This window comes from Homo sapiens, chromosome 12 (genome assembly GCF_000001405.40).
Source record: "Homo sapiens chromosome 12, GRCh38.p14 Primary Assembly".
Taxonomy (NCBI): Eukaryota; Metazoa; Chordata; class Mammalia; order Primates; family Hominidae; genus Homo; species Homo sapiens.
Window position 1 is genome coordinate 92155746 of NC_000012.12, and position 24805 is coordinate 92180550.

The following is a 24805-nucleotide window of genomic DNA, read 5'->3' on the forward strand; positions in this document are numbered from 1 at the left end:
CATTATGTTTAGATACACAAATACCATTGTGTTACAATTGTCTGCAATATTCAGTACCTTAACATGATGCATAGGTTTGTAGCCTAGGAGCAATAGGCCATATACCATATGCCTTAGGTGTGTAGCAGACTCTACCATCTAACTTTGTGTAAACACACTCTATGATGTCTGCACATGATGAAATCGCCTACTGACGCATTTCTTAGAACTTTAAGCAATGCATGACTGTATACAAGAGGATGTGCATAGGTTGTATGCACATACTATGCCATTTTATATTAAGGACTGGGGCATCTTTGAATTTTGGTATCCTTGGAGGTCAGGGACCCAATTCTCTGAGGATACCCAGGGAGAGCTGTATTCACAATCTGATGTGGTTGAATGTTGTTGGGTCGAAGAAAACAATTCCCCAAAATATGACACTTTGCCATACTGACTGCTTTGGAAATTGAAAGTCCTGAAAAATTAGCCTCAGAACCACGGTCTCTCTGTGACCTTTCTCCTTTCTCCCTGCCTCTCATATCCTCTTTCCCAAAGCACCAAGAGAGACTCTGGAATGTCCTTATCTGACTAAGAGAGCTTAAGTGCAGTTGTCTTAATACTCCCTTCCAAGAAATCTGGTCAAATAACCAGGAAAGAGCAACCACCAGAGAAGAGCAGAGACTGGAGTTACTATGCTAAGACAGATTTTTCATCTATTCTTCTGAGTGCAGCTCCAAGAAATTACCTGGGGGACTCTATCTGTGAAATATGACAATGGTTGTTCTTGCCCAGCTCCACTCCTCACCTTCCCATAATGTCTGCCTTCAGCCTCCCTAATCTATCCATTCTCCCTAATGACTTAATACCTATCACAACAATTATATACATTCCCCATCTCCCCTTGAAAAAGGGTATATAAGTGTCTGAATCTGTGATATTCTGAAATATACATGTGGTTTCCCTCCTGCTTCCTGGCATACAACCCCTAAAATCCTTGGAATCTCCAAAGTTCTTTCTTTTTGTATGCTAAAGTAGACTGATAGCTTCAGAGTAAGACTGGTCACCTGAAAGCCAAAAGCATGATTAGAGGGTTGGGACTTTCAGCCCTACCTTCCAACTTCCACCAAGAGGAAAGGGGCTGAAGGTCCACTTGCTCACCAGTGGCCAATGGGTTAATCAATCATGCTTATGTAATGAGGCCGCCATAGAAACCCAAAAGGACAGGGTTCAAAGAGCTTCCAGATAGCTGAACATACGGAGTTTCCTGGAGGGTGGTGGGCCCAACGAGGAAATGGAAATTCCATGCGGGTATACCTCACCCGCCTAGAGAGGAGGTCTTCGGAATCCCAACTTGAAGCCAGTAGACCAGAAGTTCCAGAGGCCTGCTTCTTGATGAATAGATAATGAAGAGAAAAAAAAAAAGGAAGAAAGAAAAAGAAGTTCCAGAGGCCTGCTTCTTGATGCATAGATAATGAAGAGAAAAAAAAAAAAGGAAGAAAGAAAAAGAAGTTCCAGAGGCCTGAGCTTGCTACTGGTGTTTGGGGTGGTGGGCAGTTTTGGGGTCTGAGCCCTCAACATGTGGGATCTGACATGATCTCCAGGTAGATAGTACTGGAATTGAATTGGAGGACACCCTTTTGTGTTCACTGCAGAAGTGATTGGTTGGTTGGTGGTGGAGAGAAATTCCCACATATTTTGGGGTCACAGAAGTCTTCTGTGTTGATTGTTATTGTGTTGGCTTAAGAGCAGAGAAAAAACATGGTTTCAGAATTTTTTCTGAAACAGTACCACACTGGGTATTAGGGCAATTACTCTGTGATTTCCTCCCCATGCATATTAATAAGTTTGCATACCTAGTCTCCTGTTCTACCTGTTGCCAAATTTTCAGTGAACCTTCAGAGGGCAAAGTGAAAGTTTTCCCTTTGGCCCTAAAATATGAAAGCAAAGCATCCTTTTATTAGCATTAAAGCATGCGTTAAAAACATTCCATATTTGCATGGTTTTTATTTAAACCTTTCATCAAGCAAAATGTAGAAAATATTATCTTCTGAAAGCCAATTTGAATTTTAACTGTAATGCTGATCATCAAACTCAAAGAATGGTTGCCATGTGTTTTTTTGTTGTCGTTTGTTTTTAATGTCTGACCCTACTGCTTATTTCACAAGTAGATTTAAAAAATGAAACAGTAGTAAAAGATAAACCATTAGAGTACTCAAGGAATGGTTCTTTTCTTGGTTTTCTCCCTTGTAGAAACAAAGCTGTCTGTACACTATTTAGATGATGGGAGATTGTAATAGTTAAGAGAACTTCTATCTTTATACTCAAAAAGTTCTATCCTTAGTCCCTTTGAACAGATGATGTTCTTGCCTTTTTTTAAGGAGCTTTATTGAGATATATTTTACATATTATAAAATCCTCCCATTTCAAGTGTGCAATTCAAGGATTTTTAATTTACTGAGTTATGCACCATTACTATAATCAGTTTCAGAACATTTTCATAACCTCTGATACAATTTCACCTTGCCCCCTGCCCCCACCGCCGCCCACCTCCACACCCACCTCGCCCCCAGGAAACTGCTAGTCTATTTTCTGTCTCTATAGATTTGCTTTTTCTGGTAATTTCATATAAATAAAGTCATATAATAAGTGGTCTCTTGTGTCTGACCTATTTTGCTTAGCACAATGTTTTTGAGATTCATCCATGTTTATCATGTATCAATAATTCACTATTTATTTACTTATCTATTTTGCAGTTGTATCTTCCTAGAATTTTCTCCTGAGAAAAATTATCTATCAGGAAAGCTTAATTTTATAGTTGCATGGCAGGCTGACCTCGACAGACTTTTGAAGAGTATTTCCACTTCTTTCCATGGCCTTTCCCTTTCAAACATTCTTCTCTCTTATCTAATGCCTTCAAGATGTCATTTCTTTATGGCTTAACCTAGGCAGTCCCCTCCTAGCCCCTTACCTGATGCAGAATTAATCGTGCTCACTTGTGGTGCCTAGCATATTTCAAACACCCACACCCCAACATCCAACTGCACAAGGAATAAGTTAACTGAATGAGAGGGAAAGTTTCTTCCTCAAGACACTCACTTCCTAGTATCCTCAGGAGAGGGAGAGACACACATTTCAGGTTGGAAAGAGAGTAATGAGCGGACTGTGGTTACATCGTCCAAGGACAAATATTCGCCAGATAATTTAGCCAAGAGGATTTAACTAAACAGTTAAGCTCTTAACGGAAGCTTTATTTAGGCTAATTCTAACAAACACGATCAGCAGACAAGTTCTTTTTAAAGAAAGTTCTCTTTCATCTGACTAAAAAGAAGGAACACATTTAAACCAAAACAGGAACTACTCTGGCAATATATGTGTGCAAAAATAAGCACCCTATGGGGCTCTTTTTAAATTAGCCAGAGTGCACAGAGAAATCTTTGAAAAGAAAACTCTGGGGGAAAAACATTTTTCTTGATTTCATAAACACTCATTGTTTAATCATCTGAAGAAAAGGCAAACTTATGATTAAATTCCCCCTCCTCCTAAACTGATGAACTCTTAGTTCACCTCCTCTCCCCAGCCTGATGTACTTAAGGAGGCAGGAGAAGTAACTTGAAAACCAGCCTACCAGAGAAGCAAGAAGTGGCCTAGGAGGTCCTAGCCTCAAACTGGATGCACACACATAAGGCTGCGCCTTGCAGGTCTGGCACAGAAAATAGTGTTGTCAAGTTGCAGCCATAGTATATTAATATGCTATTTACATTTCATAAGCAGTGGATAACTGGCTTCAGTTTATTTTGCTAACTTAAAAAAAACCATTAACTTCTAGGACATCACACCTAACCCTTTCCTCTCCCCCATGAGCAAGACAGTCATAGAATTTCAATCAGGACCCTTAGAACCTCTGAGACCAGCTGTAGCTTCCATCCTTACCAATTGTTCAGATATGGCCAAAGAAGTGCTATTTATATGCTTTTCTGGACTTAATCTGATGAGAAGAATGAGTCTTAAACAGAATCAAGATACAATTATGTGGCTTATGTGGCCGGGTGCAGTGGCTCACCCCTGTAATCCCAGCACTTTGGGAGGCTGAGGCAGGAGGATTGCTTGAGCCCAGGAATTTGAGACCAGCCTGGACAACATAGTGAGATCTTATCTCTAAAAACAAAAACAAAAACAAAAACAAAAAACTTGAGGTGACTAAATATGAAGCAAATACTTTTTTGATCCTCCTACCTCAGCCCCCTCAAGTAGCTGGGACTACAGGCATATGCCATCATGCCCAGCTAATTTTTGTATTTTTAATAGAAATGGGGTTTCACCATGTTACCCAGGCTATGAAGCAAATACTTTACAGATTTAAAAATAAACAAAAAGGCTAATAAGCTGTGTAAATAAGATAGGAAGAAATTTTACAAGAAATGTGGGTTTGGAGAGCATTGCTATAAATAAACAATAAATTTATTTTTGAGCTTCCTGATATCAATTAAGAAAAAAGAAATGCAATAAAGCATATGGCCTTCTCTTAAAAAAAAAAAAAAGAAAAAAGAAACTATCAAAAGAAAAACACATATTAGCATTACACTCGAGTTAGTGGATCACTTCATAATTAGATCTTGATAGAAGGAACAACTTCACATAATTTTGTAAGACATTCATGCTTCAGGTTGCTCAGTTTTTTTTTTTTTTGTTGTTGTTGTTGTTTTTGAGATGGAGTCTCGCTCTGTCACCCAGGCTGGAGTGCAGTGGTGCAATCTCGGCTCACTGCAACCTCTGCCTCCCAGGTTCAATTCTCCTCTCTCAGCCTCCCAAGTAGCTGGGAGTACAGGCGCACACTACCATGCCCGGCTAATTTTTGTATTTTTAGTAGAGACAGGGTTTCACTATGTTGGTCAGGCTGGTCTCAAACTCCTGACCATAGGTGATCTACCTGCCTCGGCCTCCCAAAGTGCTGGGATTACAGGCGTGAGCCACCGTGCCGGCCCAGGTCACTCACTCTTAATTTGACTCTCCCAATAACTACTGAGTACAAGTTTACTGCAAAATGTCTGATGTGTAAGTGTTCTAGTTGTTAATAAATACATTCCATGAATTTGACTGTCTGCTATGTATCAGGTACTGGCTAAGCACTGGAGCTACATCCGCTTACAGAAAAAATCTGTCCTACACTTTATGGAATCTAGTAGAAAGACAAAACTAAGCAAATAGCATAAACAAGTACATATTTGCTATTCTGAAAACTGCTATGGGAGAAAAATAGAGCAGCTATGAAAGTGTAACCTAGATAGGGACAGGGCAGAGGGACCTCACAGAAGTCTTTCCTAAAACAGTGATTTTTACTGAAGGATGAGTTGGAATTAACCTGGATGGAGGGTGGCAGAATAAGAGCTGCTGTTGAGACTAAGAAAACAAGTGTTCAAAGGGGACAGAGGTATGTTCAGAGCAGAAGTTTTTGATCTCTTAGTGAAGAGAATAAAACGAGAGACACCAAAGATAAGGCTGGAAAACTATGTGAGATCAGAATCTGAGGCACCTTGTGATTGTATTTAAGATATTCATCATATCTAAAGAATGAGGAAGAAGTTATCCAAGAGTTCTAAACCAAGGAATGACATGATCAAATTTGCCTGTTAAAAGTTACACTCACTCGGCAGGGCGTGGTGGCTCATGCCTGTAATCCCAGCACTTTGGGAGGCTGAGGCAGACTGATCACTTGAGGTCAGGAGTTTAAGACCAGCCTGGCCAACATGGTGAAACCCTGTCTCTAGTAAAAACAAAAAATTAGTGCATGCCTGTAATCCCAGCTACTCAGGAGGCTGAGGCAGGAGAATCGCTTCAACCCGGGAGGCAGAGGTTGCAGTGAGCCGAGATTGTGCCACTGCCCTCCATCCTGGGTGACAGTGCAAGACTCTGTCTCAAAAACAAACAAACAAACAAAAACACTCATTAAGCACCAGGGGCAATGGGGACAAAGCATTCTAATGTTATGAAAATTTGAAGGTGAAGATCTGTCCCTTATTTGCTTTTCAGGAGAGATATGAGAAGATCTATAAGTAAGACTGGATCCCTTAAGAATGCAAGGCTGCATCCCTTTAGATCTGCTCAAATATTCAATAACACTGTACTTGAAGCCCCAGAAATCTAGATCAGTAATGGTCAAAACTTGTTCTATAAAGGGCCAGGCAGTACATACTTTTTGACTTTGTGGACCAGAGGAGCTTTGTCACAACTATTCAATTCTGAAAATTTTTTTACATTTAAATTTTGTCAATGTTTATATATCTAGAGGGTACAAATACAGATTTCTTACATATAGATATTGCATAATGGTGAAGTCTAGGCTTCTAGTGTGCCCATCACCTGAGTAGTGAACATTGTACCCAATAGGTAATTTTTCAGCCTTCCTACCTTTTGGAGTCTCCAATGTCTATTATTCCACTCTCTATGTCCATGTGTACCCATTGTTCAGCTCCTACTGATAAATGAGAACATGTGGTATTTAACTTCCTATTTCTGAGCAATTTCACTGAGGATAATGACCTCCAATTTCACCCACATTGCTGCAAAAGACATGATTTCATTCTTTTTATGGGTGAGTCATATTCCATATTGTATATATGCCACATTTTCTTTATTCGTTCACTGATGGACATGTAGGTTGATTCCATATCTTTGCTGTTGTGAATAGTGCTACAATAAACATATGAGTGAAGGTATCTTTTTGATGTAATACTTTCTTTCCTTTTGGCTGCATATTTAGCAGTAGGATTACCAAACCAAATGTTTTACTTTTAGTTATTTGAGAAATCTCCATGCTGTTTTCCATAAAGGTTACACAAATTTACATTCCCACTAACAGTGTATAAGCATTCCCTTTCCGCCATGTCCTTGCCAACATCTGTTGTTTTTTGACTTTTCAATAATAGCCATTCTGACTGGTGAAAGATGATACCTCATTGAGGTTTTAATTTGCATTTCTCTGATTAGTGATATTGAGCTTTTTTTAAATATGTTTGTTGGCCACTTGTTTGTCTTCTTTTGCAAACTGTCTGTTCATGTCTTTTTATTTTTATTTTATTTTATTTTAAGTTCCAGGATACATGTGCAGGATATGCAGGTTTGTTACATAGGTAAACGTGTGCTATGGTGGTTTCCTGCACAGATCATCCTATCACCTAGGTGTTAAGCCCAGCATGCATTAGCTATTTATCCTGATGTTCCCTGCTCATGTCTTTTTCTTTTGCCCACTTTTGTTTTTTTGAGATGGAGTCTCGCTCTGTCGCCCAGGCTGGAATGCAGTGGCGCAATCTCAGCTCACTGCAACCTCCGCCTCCCAGGTTCAAGCAATTCTCCTGCCTCTCAGCCTCCTGAATAGCTGGGACTACAAGTGCCCACCACCATGCCTGGCTAATTTTTGTATTTTTAGTAGAGATGGGATTTTGCCATGCTGGCCAGGCTGGTCTTGAACTCCTGACCTAAGATGATCCACTTGCCTCAGCCTCCCAAAATGCTGGGATTACAGGCGTGAGCTACTGTGCCTGGCACTATTTTTTTTTCATTTTTTTTGAGACGGGTCTTGCTTTGTCACCCAGTGCAGTGGCAAGATCTCGGCTCACTGCAGCCTCAACCTCCTAGGCTCAAGTGATCCTCCTTCCTCAGCCTCTCAAGTAGCTGGGACTACAGGTGCACGCCACCACACCTGGCTAATTCTTTGTATTTTTATTTTGTAGAGATGGGGTCTTCCTATGTTGCCCAGGCTGGTCTCAAACTCCTGGGCTCAAGGGATCCTCCCACCTAGGCTTCCCAAAGTGCTGTGACTACAGGCATGCGCCACTGCACCCAACCTTTGCCGAGTTTTTAATGGAATTATTTGGTTTTTCCTTGTTGAGCTGTTTGAATACCTTGTAGATTCTGGATATTAGCTTTTTGTCAGATCCGTAGTTTGCAAATAATTTTTCCCATTCCAAAGATTGTCTCTTTACTCTGTTGATTATTTCTTTTAAGCTTTTTAGTTTAATTGAATCCCATTTGTCTATTTTTGTTTGTTGTATTTGCTTTCAAGGAGTTGGTCATAAATTCTTTGCCTAGGCTAATGTCCAAAAGAGTTTTTCCTATATTTTCTTCTAGGATTTTTATAGTTTCAGGTATTATGTTTATGTCTTTAGTCCATCTTAAGTTAATTTTTGTATTTAGTGAGAGGTATGAATCTAGTTTCATTCTGAATATGGCTATCCAATTTTCTCAGCACTATGGGGGTCCTTTCTCTGGTGTATATTGTTGCTGACTTCGTTGAAAATCAGTTGTTTGTAGGTATGTGGCGTTATTTCTGGGTTCTCTATTCTGTTCCATTGATCTATGTGTCTATTTTTATACAAATACCATGCTGTTTTAGTTACTATATAGTCCTTTGGTATAATTTAAAGTCAGGTAATGTGATGCCTCCAGCTTCATTCTTTTTTCTTAGGACTGCTTTGGCTATTCAGGCTCTTTTTTGGTTCCATATGAATTTTAGAAGTTTTTTTTTCTAATTCTCTGAAAAACAATGTTGGTAATTTGATGGGGATTGAATTGAATCTGTAGATTGCCTTGGGCAGTATGGTCACTATAACAATGTTGATTGTTCCAATCCATGAGTGTGGGATGTTTTTCCATTTGTTTGTGTCATCTATGATTTCTTTTATCAGTGTTTTATAGTTCCTTTTATAGAGTTTTTCACCTCTTTAGTTAAATATATTCCTAGGTGTTTTATTTGTTTTTTATTTTTGTAGCTATTGTAAATAGGATTGCCTTCTTGATTTGGTCCTTGGCTAGATCGTTATTGGTGTACAGAAACACTACTGATTTCTGTAGGTTAATTTTGTATCCTGAAACTTTACTCAATTCATTTATCAAATCTAATAGTTTTTTGGTGAGGTCTTTAGGATTTTCTAGATAAAAGATCATATCTTCAGCAAACAGGGGTAATTTGACTTCTTCTTTTCCAATATGGATGCCTTTTGTATTTTTCTCTTGCCTGATTACTCTGATAAGGACTTCCAGTACTATATTTAATAAGAATGGTGAAAGTGGTCATCCTAGTTCTGTGCATTTGCATTTGTATTTCTGTGGTATCAACAACTCTGCTATTATAGTGTGGAAGCAGCTATAGACAATACAAATTTGGCTGTGTTCCAATAAAGGTTTATTTACAAAAACAGAAGAAAGCAGATTTAGTTCTTGGGCAATACTTTGTCTATCCCTCATCTAGATCAACAAGCATCAGAGAGATGATCACTATTGTCCTCTAGGTATGGGGATTTAAAAGGGGGGGGCAAAAAAACGGATGATCATGATAGAAGATTTTGGAGGCCAGAGAAACCATCTAAGCAAAAACACTTTTAACAGGATAACTTTACTCCCTTAGGGCTTTAGTTTTGAGCAGTACTGCATTGTGATGGGATTGCCAACATTAATTAAGTACAAAATGCACCTTTTGTGAGCTGAACAAATTGACCCCGTGAACAGAATTATCATCCATGTAGATTCTGAAGTGTATAAGCTCCTTAGAGCTTATAAGACACATGGATTTGTGTCTGTTTTGTTCAATGTTTTTTTTCTGTTGTTGTTGTTGTTGTTAGTTTCTCTTTTTGCTTTTTTTGTTTTGTTTTGTTTTTACCCCAGCTGGATGCAAGGATACCCAAGTTTTGTGAATAGAATAAGATGTTAATGAGGTGTACCTCACAAGATGAATGTTTAATTAATGACCTTTCAGCAATACAGCTCTTGAAAAGTCATATCACTATTGGTAAAACTCCTTTTTATTCCCAGCGTAAAGATTTTTTTACCCAAACACATTAAATATACATACTAAGAGAAATTGTCTCAACATTATGATTCCAGGCATGAACACACTCACCAATTCACTCAACAGAGTTTCTAGTCAAAATATCACAGGAAAAAAAATTAAATGGAATCCGCTATTTGGATAATCCCAAACATGTTTGTTTTGCTTGTGAACACCAAGCAAGAAATGAAGATATAGCATCGTCATCTCTTATAACCCTTTGGTCTGTGTGTGCATGTACTATTTCCATGCGGTGTATGTACATTGTTTGTGCTTTGCATTTTTGTGCCTGAAAAATGATGTTTAAAGCTTATTTTAAGCAAAACTGACCTCAGTAATAATAAGATTCTTCAAAAGATTAAAAAATACATAAGAAAAATAGTGCAAAAAGAAGGAGATTTCCAAATCGAGATTCTCTCACTTCTTCCCTGCACATCCATCACCCACTATCAAGTCATCTCTTTCTCCTTTGCTGAGTACAAAAATTATTCATTGGATTACTATGCTTGATTACTTTCAAATTCTTTATTATTACTTACACAGATGTGCTTTTATTATATACATATGTGTATGGAGACATACTAAATATGTATATAATTTTTGAAAATTGTTTGGATGTCTTAGGTTAAGATGTACTACATAAAAACTTTCTCATTAAAATGAATGAAGTTTGTTTTGTTTTGTTTAAAGAGGTCACTTAAAAGCAGGGCTTTAAGAAATTAACGTTATTCATCAAGGTATAGGTCAATCAATTTCCGTTGCAATCCAATGTATTTTAATTAGTACAACATAAAAATATTGTTCAGAGAAAAAGTTTATACTCTTCACACTGCTAAAAAGCTCTATGACACACACACACACACACACACACACACACAGCCCCTAGGCCTGGATCCTAGAACAGTATCTAACATGCAATAGGGACTCAATAAATATTTCTTGAATACCAAATGACTTTTAACCCATAGAAACAATATTGGTTTTGCTAAAAAGATGCTAAGCTATTTAGACAAAAATTGTTTAAAAAGTGTCATGATGATGCCTACAGCATAAAAATCTTCTCTTTTAGATAAGGAACAGCATTGAACTTGTTGTTTTTTATGGCAGAAAAGCATAAGAAACACTAAAATCTGCATCATGTTAGTGTAAATGCTTCAAAGGAGAATTAAAGACAAAGAATGATTTCAATCACATTTAAGATTATAATTTGCTCAAAGAAGTACATAACTACCCAGCACTGTGACTATTTTGTTCACCAGTACATTCACAGCACTTAATATAGTACTTGGTAAATAGTGGCATCAATACATATTTGAGGAATGAATGAACTCAGAAATTCTGTGGCAGTAAAAGCTCTGATGGAAGATTAAGAATCTTGAATCAATATCAAAATCATATGGCCTGGCTAAGTGGTACCTGTCTATGGAATCAAAGATTGATGAGAGATCCATAAATATTGCAGAAGGAGTCTTGGGTTATTTTTAGCTGCATTTCCCATCCCCTATAGATTTAAAAGTACCAAAAAGGTCAGTAGTAGAATAGTGCTGTTCCAAATGTTCCTTCTTTTACAGGCAGAATATTAAATGGAGAAGCCAGACTTTCAACACATAGAAAAGAAAGCTAGTTCAGAATGTTGAGAGACTTGGGAGCTGATTGATTGAAGGTGGCACTTAGAAGGTTGCCCTTTTTAAAGATAAAGGCTGATACTGTGACTCTGTCCCAGGGGACCTGAGTAAAGAACTCCTCAGAGATGTGGGACCACTATTCAGAACAAGATTTGGAGAGCTGGGGCAGAGAAGATTTTACCTTGGGGATTTCTTCAGCTGCGAGTAGTAAATTGGTTATGCCTTAATGAATGAAGTTTGTCAAATTTTAAGATAGGATGTTATTACGCCTTTTAAAAGAATGAGGTAGAGTATAACATCTGATTTGGAGTTCTTTCCAGCATTTTAAGGTCTTTAAAGAAAACAAATTGGAGAAAAATAAATAAATATAGATCATGCTGTACATATAGTATTTATCTGTGTATGTGTATATATATACAAACACACACACAAGTATCAAAGGATTATATATGCATAGAAAAAAGTTTAAGGCAACACATCAAGGGGGTACTCCTCTGAGGGGTATGTTTAGAGAGGTAGTTATTTACTTTTTATAATCCTGGGTACTGGCTTTCTAGATGAAAGAAAGTTAGATTGCTACATTGTATATAAAACAAATTCTATTTGAATTACATTACTAGAATAAAAACCAATAAAAGAAAAATCAGGAAATGTGTAGATTTACAAGTGTGACTTTCTTGGTCTGTTTGTGATGCTGTAACAGATACCATAAACTGGGTAACCCATAAACAACAAACACTTATTTCTCACAGTTCTGGAGACTGGGAAGTCCAAGATCAAAGCACCAGAAGATCTGGTGTCTGTGAAAGCCTGATTTCTGATTCACAGAGGGCCATCTTCTTGCTATAGCCTCACATAATGGAAGGGGCAAGGAAGCTCTCTGGGATCTCTTTTACAAGGGCATTAATTCTATTCATGAAGTCTTCACTCTCATGACTTAATCACCTCCCAAAGGCCCCACCTAAAAATAGCAACACATTGGGGATTAGAGTTTCAAGATGTGAATTTGAATTTGGTGGGGAATACAAACATTCAGTCTATAGCAGTGAGGATGGGTGGAAAAACTTTCTAAGTAATTCAGGAAGACAAGAATTCATAAAGGAAAAGATTAAAACATCTGTGAAAAACAAAGCAAAACTAGACGTTTGTGTATGATAAAAAGCATCATTAAAAAAACAAGATAGAAATGCTAGGGCAGGAACCACCATCATCCGGTAATTTGCCAAAATGATGAACACAACGGGAAAGATGAGAGGCACCCCATATGTGATTTTTAGGCCTTTTAGAAAACATGAAGTTGTTCCTTTGGCCATGTACATGCAAATCTGTAAGAAAGGTGATATCATAGACATCAAAGGAGTGGGTACTGTTCAAAAAGGAATGCCCCACAAGTGTTACCATGGGAAAGCTGAAAGAGTCTACCTTGTTCCCCAGCATGCTGCTGGCATTGTTGTAAACAAACAACTTAAGGGCAAGATTCCTGCCAAGAGAATTAATGTGGGTATTGAGCACATTTAGCATTCTAAGAGCTGAGATTGTTTCCTAATGCTTGAAGGAAAATGATCAGAAAAAGAAAGAAGCCAAAGAGAATGGTACCTGGGTTCAACTGAAGCGCCAGCCTCCTCCACCCAGAAAAGCAGACTTTGTGAGAACCAATGGGAAAAAGCCTGAGCTGCTAGACCCTCTTCCTTATGAATTCATGGCATAGTAGGTGTTTAAAAAAAAAAATCCAAGACCTCTGGACTGTAAAAAAAAAAAAAAAAAAAGAGCTAGGCTAGGCAGAAAAAGGAACATTGGTGACACATGTGAGAAACAAGGAATTAATAGTAATATTAAATATATAGTAAATAAAAATTAAGGTATAATAATATCTTCACATAAAGAACTACAAATTGAAAATGATAATTAAACAAAAGAAAAATAGGCAAAATATAAGAATAGGCAATTTATTAGAGAAAAAAGTGGACAATAAATATAGTAAACATGCAATCTTAGTAGTAGTCAGGAAAATGCAAAACAATACAATATGCCAGTTATTATCAGATTGATGGATAGTAAAAGATTAATGTCTGGTGCTAATATAGTTATAGGGAAATGGAAACATCATACTTTGTTTATGAAATAATAATTAGCTATAATCTTCTTGGAAAGTATTTGGTAGAATTTATCAATCAAAAATATGCTATGCTTTGACATCCCACTTTTGATAATTTCTTTAATATAAATTTTATAGAAAAAGTCAGTTTTTATAGAAAAACTCAATATATAAAAACATATAGAGAAACACATACGTTCCCATACACATGTGTTAAGGGTATATGTTTATTGCAGCATTTAAAAATAATGGCCCCAAACTGGAAATAACCGAATGTCTATCAATAAGAGAATGATTTTGTGAATGATGAATCATTCATACTATAGTAATTTCATATAGCTAATAAAAATTATTATATCTGTGTACATTGACCAAGTCTTAGAAGAATAAATATGATACATTTAAGTTAAAAAAGCAAGTTGCAGAGATATGAATATGATTTCTAAAATACTGTAATAAAAAGAAAAACCCTAGTGAGAACAGAGAGATATTAAAGGGCACATATTAAAGTATGAACATACTCTATGACAATTTATTGGTAAACCTCAGTGTAATTTTTTTTACTGCAAAGAACAGTGATTTGAAGGGAAAATTAGATCAAGAGGAATTTATGCCTCTATACCATTAGTAAGGGGCCCCCAAACATGAATTATTGACCATAATTGCTAGTCTTAGGGCCTCTTGTAGTCATCTTGGTTTTTTTTCCCCTCAAATATTCTTTATAAAAGTACTTATTAGTAAATTTCTATGTTGCTTGAAAATAGTGTTAAAAAGTAAGGTTTTGAAGCAAGTAAAACCTTGTAGCAATTGACTGCTAAGCTTTTCATTGTTTTATAGCATTCCTTAGCAAATAAAAAACCAAATCAAAATCCTGTTTCCTGTTGCTCAGATTATGGGTGGGCCTTTTCTAGATGAAGTAAATAGTTACAGACTGCATGGAACACAGAAGACAACATACAAACTGAGAAACTCTGTCTTGTAAATGTCATCTTTCTGAGCTCATCATCCAAGCTGAGTGTACAGTCATTGCAGAGTAGTGTTAAGTCAGAATAAGGGTTTTATTTTGTTTGTTTGTTTGTTTGTATTTTAGGCTAGCCAAGTGAAGCAGTGGAAGTGGAGGAGGAACAAAGAAATCTGTAACTAGTTTTGATCAATTAGTTGTAGACACCATGCACTCAGACCAGCCAAGTCAGAATAAGTTTAAAGCAGGAGTGATCACCTTTATCCCCAAATTACCCATCTCAGAGATGGAGATAAACAGAGAAGGCCTAAGGCCTAAGTAATAGGTAGTTATGACTTATCCACATAGTACCTCCCTTCTTGGAAATCTCTGAAATACTCTCTCATTTTCTTTCCTCCCACTTCCATCCATGGCTACAGGAGTAGTCATGATGGGTACCTAAGCATAGCCAGTGAATTTATTCACTGGGGGTTTTAGATCTGGAAACACTGGAGATTAAGATGATCTCTGTCCTGTAGTTGTATGCTCTGCAAGTAAAATCTTGATACCGTTGGCAGCCATTTTTTCCTACTATGTAAAGAATACACAGAGAGAGAGAGAACAAAGAGAAAAGGAGATAAAAGGTATAGAGAACACCTTGGGGATATTTAAGCTCCTGGCTCGAGTTGTTCCAGAGCATTATCCTGTCCTGTAGGCTGGCCCTTCTTGTGACTTGGTTATTCACCTTCCCCTTAGATTCTATGAGACCCCAATAATCTGCCAATAAGTTCCTTTTATACTTTTTCTTAAGGTAGTGTTTTATTTATTATCCCTTGTAACCAATACAATCCTAAATAATTAAGGATTCTTATTAAATAATTAACATATTGATAAGAATATTCCAGATGTAAGGACCTTGAGTTAACAATTACAAATATTAAGTGAAGGCAGACACATGTCCTTCTCCTTCCACTTGGGCTCTGACATACCCTCTGGAGCACTCCAACTCCCCCGTCACCCGCAGCCTTCCCCTGAAGCTCATGCCTACCATGCTTAGTTCTACTTAATTTTTAGGACTGACTTTTCAGGAAAGGAAAGGGAAGAGGACAGGGAATGTCAGTAGAGCGTTTTACAGAGCATGAGGTCTGCATAGCTGGCATATGGTAGAGATCAGACAGGCATGCTCCTGACTCTGCTACTCCATTATCATACTGCTAAACACCATGAAACACTGTGTAAGTTTGCGCTATTATAGTTATTTTAAACTGTTTTTATATTTAGTTGCTTACTTTTAAATTTATATTTACACAGAATTGTTTTTAAAGCAGGAAGTACAAGAAACTGATGTGGAAATACACATTATTAATAAGGAGCACGGATTTGACTTCATTAAATTTGTAAACTTCTGAACACTAAAAAATCAGAATAACAAGGAAAACATGAATGACAAACTAGGAAAATATATTTTTAGTAGTTTAAAATAGTTAATATCTTTAATTAGACAGAAGAGCTGGCATCTTTTGAATTTCTCATTCAGCTAAGAGTCAGTGTCCACAGAACAGCTTACAAGTATATAATCACATCTTTTTTTCTTCTTTGAGACAGGGTCTCACTCTGTCACCCAGGCTGGAGTAGCGTGATCTCAATATTGGCTCACAGCAGCCTCGACCTCCCAGGCTCAAGCGATTCTCCTGCCTCAGCCCCCCAAGAAGCTTGGACTATAGGTGCATGCCACCACGACTGGCTAATTTTTGTTTTCGTTTTGTTTTTTTGATAGAGACAGGGTTTCACTGTGTTGCATAGGCTAGTCTAGAACTCCTGTGCTCAAGCAATCTGCCCACCGTGGTCTCCCAAAGTGTTGAGATTACAGGCGTGAGCCACCCCACCTGGCCAGATTATCATATTTTAGAAGACTCTTTTCAGAGTCTGTCCTCTACCTGAAGAGATCAAATCGGGAGCTAGTGTTATACGCCAAAATGATAAACAACAAAGAAAAACCAATTTTAAACATACGACATGCATTCACATCCATGTACACCCAAGCAGAGAAACAGGCAGTGAATATGAAGAGGTAATTCCCAAATGAAATCCATTGATGAGGGACGGGGGAACAGAAAGAGTATAGCAAGGGTAATAGCAATTGCTGGTCCTGGCCTTTGATACCTTATGAGCAGCCTCTGGGGTTCTCTTTTCTGGCAATTTTGGGAGGCTTTAGGGCTATTTACATTTTTCCTCAGAAGACTAATTTAGCCTGTGGTCTTCCTAAATTCTCTGGATGATTATTTTTAACCTGTGTCTTTAAAGCTGTCTACCAGGCCTGGCAAGAAGATACAATTTGAAGCACAGGAAGGAAGCCTGCAGAGCTACCTCTGGGATGGACACTATTCTCTGAGGTGCTGCTTCCTCTTCCCCGCTGCTAAAAGTGAATTATTAAAGGGAGATTAAAATAAGCTAAAAATTTAATTAACAAAGTAATGAGATCATCAGAACCAGCAGACATAATAAAAACAGGACAGATCCACCCACAGACAGTCCTAAGTCAGAAATAACTGAAGATAATAACTTGTTCTGAGTAGCAGATGTGACGTTGAGGGCAGGGACGTTTCTTAACCAAAGACTTGTAAATTCTCCACTGGACTACCCCGGAGGCTTACGTGCCCTGATGTGTCTATGGGCTTTTAGGCTCTCAGCTGTTTGCAAGTTCTCTGCACTCTGCTGACCTCAAAGAAGTCACATGCAAATTTCTTTCTTTCTTTTTTTTTTTTTTAATGTGAGACGCAGTCTCACTCTGTTGCCCAGGCTGGCGTGCCAATGGCACCATCTCGGCTCACTGCAACCTCTGCCTCCCTGGCTGAAGTGATTCTCCTTTCTCAGCTTCCCTAGTAGCTAGGATTACAGGCACCTGACAACACGCCTGGCTAATTTTTGTATTTGTAGTAGAGACAGGGTTTTACCATGCTGGCCAGGCTGGTCTTGAACTCCCGACCTCAGGTGATCCACCTGCCTCAGCCTCCCAAAGTGCTGGGATTACAGGTGTGAGCCACCACGCCCAGCCGCAAATTTCAAAACTGTAGAGTTGGAGTGTGTTTCCTTAAAAAGTGTCGTATGCGTGGTACAAACAATGCTCCTATTTTAGATTCTGTTTTTGGCTGGGCATAGTGGCTCACACCTGTAATCCCAACACTTTGGAAGGCCAAGGCAGGAGGATTGCTTGAGGCTAGGAGTTTAACAGCAGCTTAGGCAACATAGTAAGACTCTCATCTTTATTTAAAAAAAATAGATTCTGCTCTTGGGGAATGTTCGTCTGGTTTATAGCTCATTTCCCTACACATTCCCATTCCAGTCCATAACTGATTTCTTTATGGACACCAGGGGTGGGTTTTATAGAATGTGCGATATCTATTACTTTAGCTGAGGAATTCCAGACCAGCCTGGGCAACATAGTGAGACCCCATCTCTACAAAGAAAAAAAAAAGGAAAGAAAAAAAAGAATCCTATAGAAAACCAGGTTGCAACAGTGAGAGGTAATAATACTACTAAAGTTATAAGCAAGAATAAACGGTGTCCCAGAAGAAAGCCTTTGAAAGTAGGCTCTGACATTTTGCTAGTCTACAAGCACATTTTAAAGCAGTTGCAATATTAAACTACTTTAGAAATTGCTGATTTCGGATATTAGTGACAACATTTTAATTACAATAGCATTTAGGATAAAAATGATATCAGTTGGCATGATAGTATATTTATAAGAGCATTTCATTAAAGCAATTACACTTTTGGTATTCACCTCTCTCCCCATGAGAACTATGGTATCAGTTGAGCTCATAAGAGCTCGCTTCAGCCAGAGACGGGTGAATCCGGAATCCATTTTCCAGGCTTCACTTTACACATTCTAAATCTTATCAGATTTTAAGCAGGTGAAACAACAGAAATGACATACAAATCAACCATTCCTCCTTTGGTTTTCTTCTTTGCTTTCTACTGGAGAAGGTTGAAACTTAGGGTTTTAATGATTTGTACACCAGTCTTTCATGCATTATTGCCATAGAACCTGAAGAGTCTGCGCCTGATAATTACCCACATTATCCTCATTTAATTTCTTCACTGAAATACAAGGCAGACCTAGATTCAGAATAGGTGATGAACTAGACCTGTAGCATTTGTTTTACTGAAAGACAAAATCCAAAATTCAAATCAGTGAGAAAGGGGAAAAAACAAACATCCTTCAGATGTGACAAGTATTACATGGAGGTAGCAATGGCTGACATGTCCTATTCAGCTAAAAGGTTCAATGTCAGAGGGGGGATAAATAAATGCCGCCAGGCAGGGAGTGGTTTCTATGGAGGATTTAGCATTTCCCCTCTTGACTAGGATTATAGAATAAAGAAGATGCTCTTTAAATTTGTGGACACCACTAAATTTAAAGGCTAACATATCTTATGAAGATGAATTAGGATGAGAGTAGGGTTTGCCAGATAAAATACAGGATGCTCAGTTAAATTAGAATCTCAAACAAACAACACTTTTTTTAGTATACAAACAATTATAATTTTTAAGTGTGTTTTAAGCAACATTTGGGACATACCTATATGAAAAAATTATTCACTGCCTATCTGGAATTCAAATTTACCTGTGTTCCCTGTGGTTTTTATTGCCAAACCTGGCACCGCTAGGTGGGGGACTTGTTGGGGAAAACAGACTATAAACAGTGATGAAAAAAAGGTATAAGACTTAGAGCAGTGAGCAGCTTGTTTTGGAACTCAAAATGATCCCATATATCTAAAGAAATTCTTAGACTGCAAAACAATAAAATTGGTTGAGAGAAGAACCAACCTTCTGAGATGGTAAAGCTAAAAAAACAACAGTGAAAACCTTGGTTGTATGCTTCTAAATGGCAATTTTTCTAAAATTTTCATTTTATGTTTATTTATTTATTTTTAGAGATGGAGGTTTTGCTATGTTGCCCAAGCTGGACTCAAACTTCTGGACTCAAGTGGTCCTCCCTCCTCAGCCTCCAGAGTAGCAGGGACTACAGGCTCATACCACCTATGCCAACTTGGGCAGCTTTTATTCTTCCTTTCTTTCTTTCCTTCTTTCTTTCTTTCTCTTTCTCTTTCTTTTCTCTCTCCCTTTCTCCCTTTCTCTCTTTCGTTTCGAGACAGGGTCTAGCTCTGTCACCCAGGCAGAGTGCAGTGGCAAGATCACAGCTCACTGCAGCCTCGACCTCCCAGGCTCAAGTGATTCTCCCACTTCAGTCTCCCGAGTAGCTGGGACTACAGGTGTGCACCACCCCACCTGGCTAATTTCTTGCTTTTTTTGGTAGAGATAGGGGCTCATTATGTTGCCCAGGCTAGTCTCGAACTCTTGGGCTCAAGCAATCCTACTGCGCTGGCCTCCCAAAGTGCTGGAATTATAGGCATTAGTCACTGTGCTCAACCTTTTCGCTAATTCTTTTTGCTTTTCCAATCTGCAGGTTTTCACTTTAGGTAGATAAGCAATAAGTGTTTTTGAACGAAGCAATTCTTTCCTTAAACATAACCCCCTTTCCAGTGCGTTTACAAGGTTCTTAACAATTATTGGCTTTATTTTGTAAGAAAATCATGACACTTGCCTATTTCTTAAGAAAAAATCAGGGATATTTGTGTAGCCATCAAAGTGAGAAAATATCCAAGTTTGAGTGAAACCAGAGTCATTAAATTGTGACTACCCAGTCCACAGGAGTTCACAGACGCAAATTACCTACTTGGATGAATCTGTCCCCAGGATAATTTTCAAAACACTGAGCTCAATTCAACCAACAAGCTAATCAGAAGAGATCCACCTTGAAAGAAAAAAGTCAGGCAGCAGCCTTCCAAGGACTTTTTTCTATAACCCTCTCAGCAAGGGAGTGAGGACCTTTTAAGAATTAAGCTTTGTAACTGCCCTATTGTTATTTGTGGACTCCCTCTGCTATTGTTTCCTCCATAGTGATTGACAGACAAACCCCTAAAATGAGAAGGATCAGTGCGTCTGTCTGTAGAGAGTGACAGCGTTGAAGCAAGACATTCAGAAGCCAGCCTGACACAAAGGGGACAAGAACAACTGCCACCCCAGCCCCCATCTCATTCCAACCCAAGAGACGGTGAGTCTGAGTCTAAAGAGAGTATGAGGGTCCAGGTGTGGTGGCTGACGCTCCTAATCCCAGCACTTTGTAAGGCAGGAGGATTATTTGAGGCCAGGAGTTTGAGATTAACCTGGGCAAAATAGTCAGACTCTGTCTCTACAGAAAAAAAAAGAAAAAAAAATTAGCCAGTGATACAGGAGTTAAGAAGAAATCATTTTGGCAGATAGTGAGAGTACGGGAGTCCCTGATAAGGTTTTCCTTTTAAAGAAAAGCAGCCCCCAGATCATTTCTTTTCTAACAAAGCAGCCTGTAAAATCGAGCTGCAGACATAGACAAGTAAGCTGATTGCACAGGTGAATGCCCTGGCAGTTGTGACAACAGGAAAAGGCTACCTGGGACTACGCATGATCAACATGGCGGCTCCATCTTTCCTTCTCTTTGCTAGCCACATGTGCAGTAAGGAGCAGATGAGATGGTGCTGGCTAAGCGGAAAGCCCATTTACATAATAAGATTAGGGTGGGGCGACCAGCCTTCCCTGCGCTATGTAAGGGACACCCCTGGTCAAACCAATCCATGGGCCCTACGTAAATCCGATACTGCCTCCTCAAGCCTGCCTATAAAATGTGCTGTGGTCTGCCATAGGCCAGCTTTTCCCTTTCGGATGCCCCTCTGTCGAGAGAGAGAGGGAGAGAGGGAGAACCACAACGCTACTTTTCTCTCTCCTCTCTCCTTTCTTCTGCCTATTAAACTTTCCGCTCCTTAACCCACCCACGTGTGTCCATGTCCTTAATCTTCTTGGCAAACCGCGGGTACCTACGCCCAGACTATGACGTCGCTTCATTAGGTGTGGTGAGAGGTGCCTGTAGTTCTAGCTACTCAGGAGGCTGAGGCAGGAAGATCCCTGAGCCCAGGAGTTTGAGGCTGCAGTGATCTATGATCACGTCAGTGCACCCCAACCTGGGTAACAGAGAGAGACCTTGTCCTCACAAACAAACAAACAAAAGGAATAAAGAGAATGGAGGAATAGATTTGGCTCTTGAGGGAAGGGAGGCTGAGGAAGGGAAATGTGAATTCATTTGTACATATACAAATCCATTTGCATGTATACGTACTTTGGGAAGTAGGGTACATATCTTCTATTGTATTTTTAAACTTTTAATTTTTTGTACTTTTTTCACTTTTATTTTACTTTGAACCCTGAGAAGCTACATATTTTAAAGAATTTTAAAGATGGCCTTGTCTGAAAGTTGGACAGGTAAAATGACTTTGAAGAAACAGTTGGAGGCCCAGCACAGTGGGCACACCTATAATGCTAATATAGTATTTGTTGGGAAGCCAAGTCATGAGGATTGTTTGAGGCCAAGAGTTCAAGACCAGCCTGGGCAACATAGTAAGACCCTATCTCTATTTTTTTTTTCTTCGAGATGGGGTCTCACTCTGTCACCCAGGCTGGAGTGCAGGGGCGCTATCTCAGCTCACTGCAACCTCTACCTCCTGGTTTCAAGCTATTCTCCTGTCTCAGCCTCCCGAGTAGCTAAGAATACAGGTGCCCCACCACCACACATGGCCAAGTTTTGTGTTTTTAGTAGAAATGGGGTTTCACCATGTCGGCCAGGCTGGTCTGCCCACCTTGGCCTCCCAAAATGTTGGGATTACAGGTGTGAGCCACTGCACCCAGATCCTATCTCTGTTTTAAAATAGAAAAAGAAATAGTTGGAAAAAACTTGCTTCTTTTTCTAAGCAATAAGATGTCATGGTAGCATATTTTTTTCATGACAATCCTATTGGTTCCTTACCATTTCCTAATTCTTAAAGGAATAAAACATTAAATTTTAAATAAATAAACTTTTTGAAGTACATTGAAAATCTTTCTGTTCTCTTTGCTTATTCAGACTCATTTTATATAGCAAAGGGAAATAAGAAGATAATGAAAAATTTACCTACTTTACACTTTCACTCATGGTCAAGACCCCTCTGTTTACCTATGTCAGATTAATAATTGCTCCTTAGTAAATACCAAGGCCTTCTGAAAACAAAGACATCCTCAATACAGCTTCAGAGCCTGGCTCTGGGGTGAAGCAGCTTTAGAACATACCAACAGTATTTGTTGTAGAAATATAATAGAATCCTTGTGACATACTTTGCTCATGTGCTTTTCTGTCTGAGGACAAAACCTCTATCACAGAAAACATAACACCTACACTCACCAAGAATCTAGGTGTGATGGGAGGGGAGGTGGAGGTGAACTTCACAAAGTCTAGAGATCACCCATTTCACACATTCCAAGAGCTGAAAATAAGTGTTCTTGCACCTCCAAAGTTATTCTCACAAAACGAGGTGCAATGATAAGTTAACATCTAGGTTTCAGTTACCACTTAGCTGCAGGGGAGTTTTAGAAATTATTACACTGATGAAATTAGATTTAATAAAATATTTCTTTTAAAAAGAAGCCTTAAAGAGAGCCTATATATTGCCATGTGTCATGGCAACCTGTGATCAATTAAGCAAATAACTTAGAGATCAGTGACCTTTTGTTCCAGTGAATTGGTAATCATAAATGTATATACATTTTGCAATACAGTCTCCTCTTTTAAAATATATGCATTTTTTCATAAGCAGAAGACTCAAATGTTCTTTTTTTAATGCAATGCTACAGTGCAGGATTTTAATCTGTTATGCATTGATATCCATGTGTCTGAAATGCTGGATGCAACTCTATTTGAAGCAAGGCGTTGGGCACTCAAGAGACCATCTTCTGTTTAATCTAGAGGGTGAGAATGGCCTGTCCAACCAAGTCTGTGTCCTTCTTTCTCCCTTATACTTTCATTTTGCTCCTGTACCTTTGAATAGATGCGTAAAGAACTTGTGAGAACTATAAGTTTTATCTGCTTCAGCAAGTTCTCCCTATGCAGGGCATGGTGGCTCACACCTGTAATCCCAACACTTTGAGAGGCTGAGGCTGGTGGATCCCTTGAGCTCAGGAGTTTGAGACCAGCCTGGACAACATGACAAAATCATGTTTCTACACAAAATACAAAAATTAGCAGGACATGGTGATGCGTGCCTGTAGTCCCAGCTACTCAGGAGGCTGAGGTGGGAGGATCAATTGAGCCCTGGAGGAAGAGGTTGCAGTGAGCCCAGATGCTGCCACTGTACTCCAGCCCAGGCAACAGTGCAAGATCCTATCTCAATAAAAAGAAGGAAAGAAAGTGCTCCCTCATCACCCAAGATAATGCACTTTTTCCCCCCTCTTTGTTACTATAGCTCCAGAGGATCCATTTAATATGCACCTTTCTAAAAATATTGCAAACTCTTTAATAAAGTAATCTTCTTTGTGCCCCCATGACCTGGCTCTGTATGGGACACACAATAGATACTCCCTAAATGTAGGTCGAGTGCATGGGTTAAAGTAAAAATAAAGTAAATGGCGAGAAGGAGTTCCATATTGTTGGGGTTCAGAAAGCAAAATCCTGAAGACTAGCACTTTGGCATGCTGAGAAGCTTTAGAAGCTGCCTAAGAATCAAAACCCTTCTAACACCTTGTCCTGTCCCTGCCTCTCCAAGAACAGGGTGAGTTTCTCTTTCAATTTTTCTTATCTGATCAGGAAAACTTTTTTCCAAGAGAAATGCAATTGTCTTAAGACTCCCTTTTTAGAAATATCATCAAAGAACCAGAAATGATCAACCACCAGAGAAAAGCAGAGACTGGGGTCACCATGCCCAGAAAAACTTTTTATTTATTTATTTTTTTTGAGAAAGGGTCTCTCTCTGTCATCCGGGCTGGCGTGCAATGGTGAAATCTGGGCCACTGCATCACTGCAGCCTCAACCTCCTGGGCTCAAGCCGTCCTCCCATCTCAACCTCCCAAAGTGCTGAGGTTACAGGCATGAGCCACTGCACCCAGCCCCAGACAGACTTTTCATCTGTTCTTCTGAGGGCAGCTCCAAGAGATCACTTGGGGGACTTCATCTGCATAAAGCAACGTGCGACACAGTTCCACTTCTCCCCTTCCCATAATGTCTGCCTTCCACCTCCCTGACCCATTCATTCTCCCCAATGATTTACTGCCCTTCAAAAGAATCTGCATTCCTCGTCTCCTCCTTCCCCTATGAAAAAGGGTACATAAGCTTTTGTACCACACTGGGTATTTGGGTAATTACTCTGTGATAGCCCCCTCTGCCCTTGTGCACGTTAATAAATTTGTACGCCTGTTCTCTTATTAATCTGCCTTTTGTCAGTGGC

The 24805-nt window shown here is 38.9% G+C and overlaps 1 long non-coding RNA gene and 1 pseudogene across 2 annotated transcripts in view, besides 1 other annotated feature; both read left to right on the forward strand.

Annotated features, from left to right (window-relative positions):
• The window catches only part of BTG1-DT (BTG1 divergent transcript), a 39700-nt gene that overhangs the window by 9661 nt on the left and 5234 nt on the right, over window positions 1-24805 (forward strand). The window contains exon 4 of one of the 2 annotated variants that reach the window (NR_135037.1): window positions 11374-11815. The exons of the other annotated variant lie outside the window; for it this stretch is intronic. This is a non-coding gene — a long non-coding RNA (BTG1 divergent transcript). Of the gene's footprint in view, window positions 1-11373; window positions 11816-24805 lie in introns of those variants that run through there. 2 annotated transcript variants of the gene reach the window in all.
• RPL21P106 (ribosomal protein L21 pseudogene 106) lies at window positions 12621-13172 on the forward strand (annotated as a pseudogene).
• Window positions 16300-16359: an enhancer, noted in NCBI's record as "active region_6726". NCBI's record gives its function as "activates an Ori minimal core promoter by ATAC-STARR-seq in GM12878 lymphoblastoid cells {active_cell/tissue: GM12878}" and the evidence as "EXISTENCE:reporter gene assay evidence [ECO:0000049][PMID:35858748]".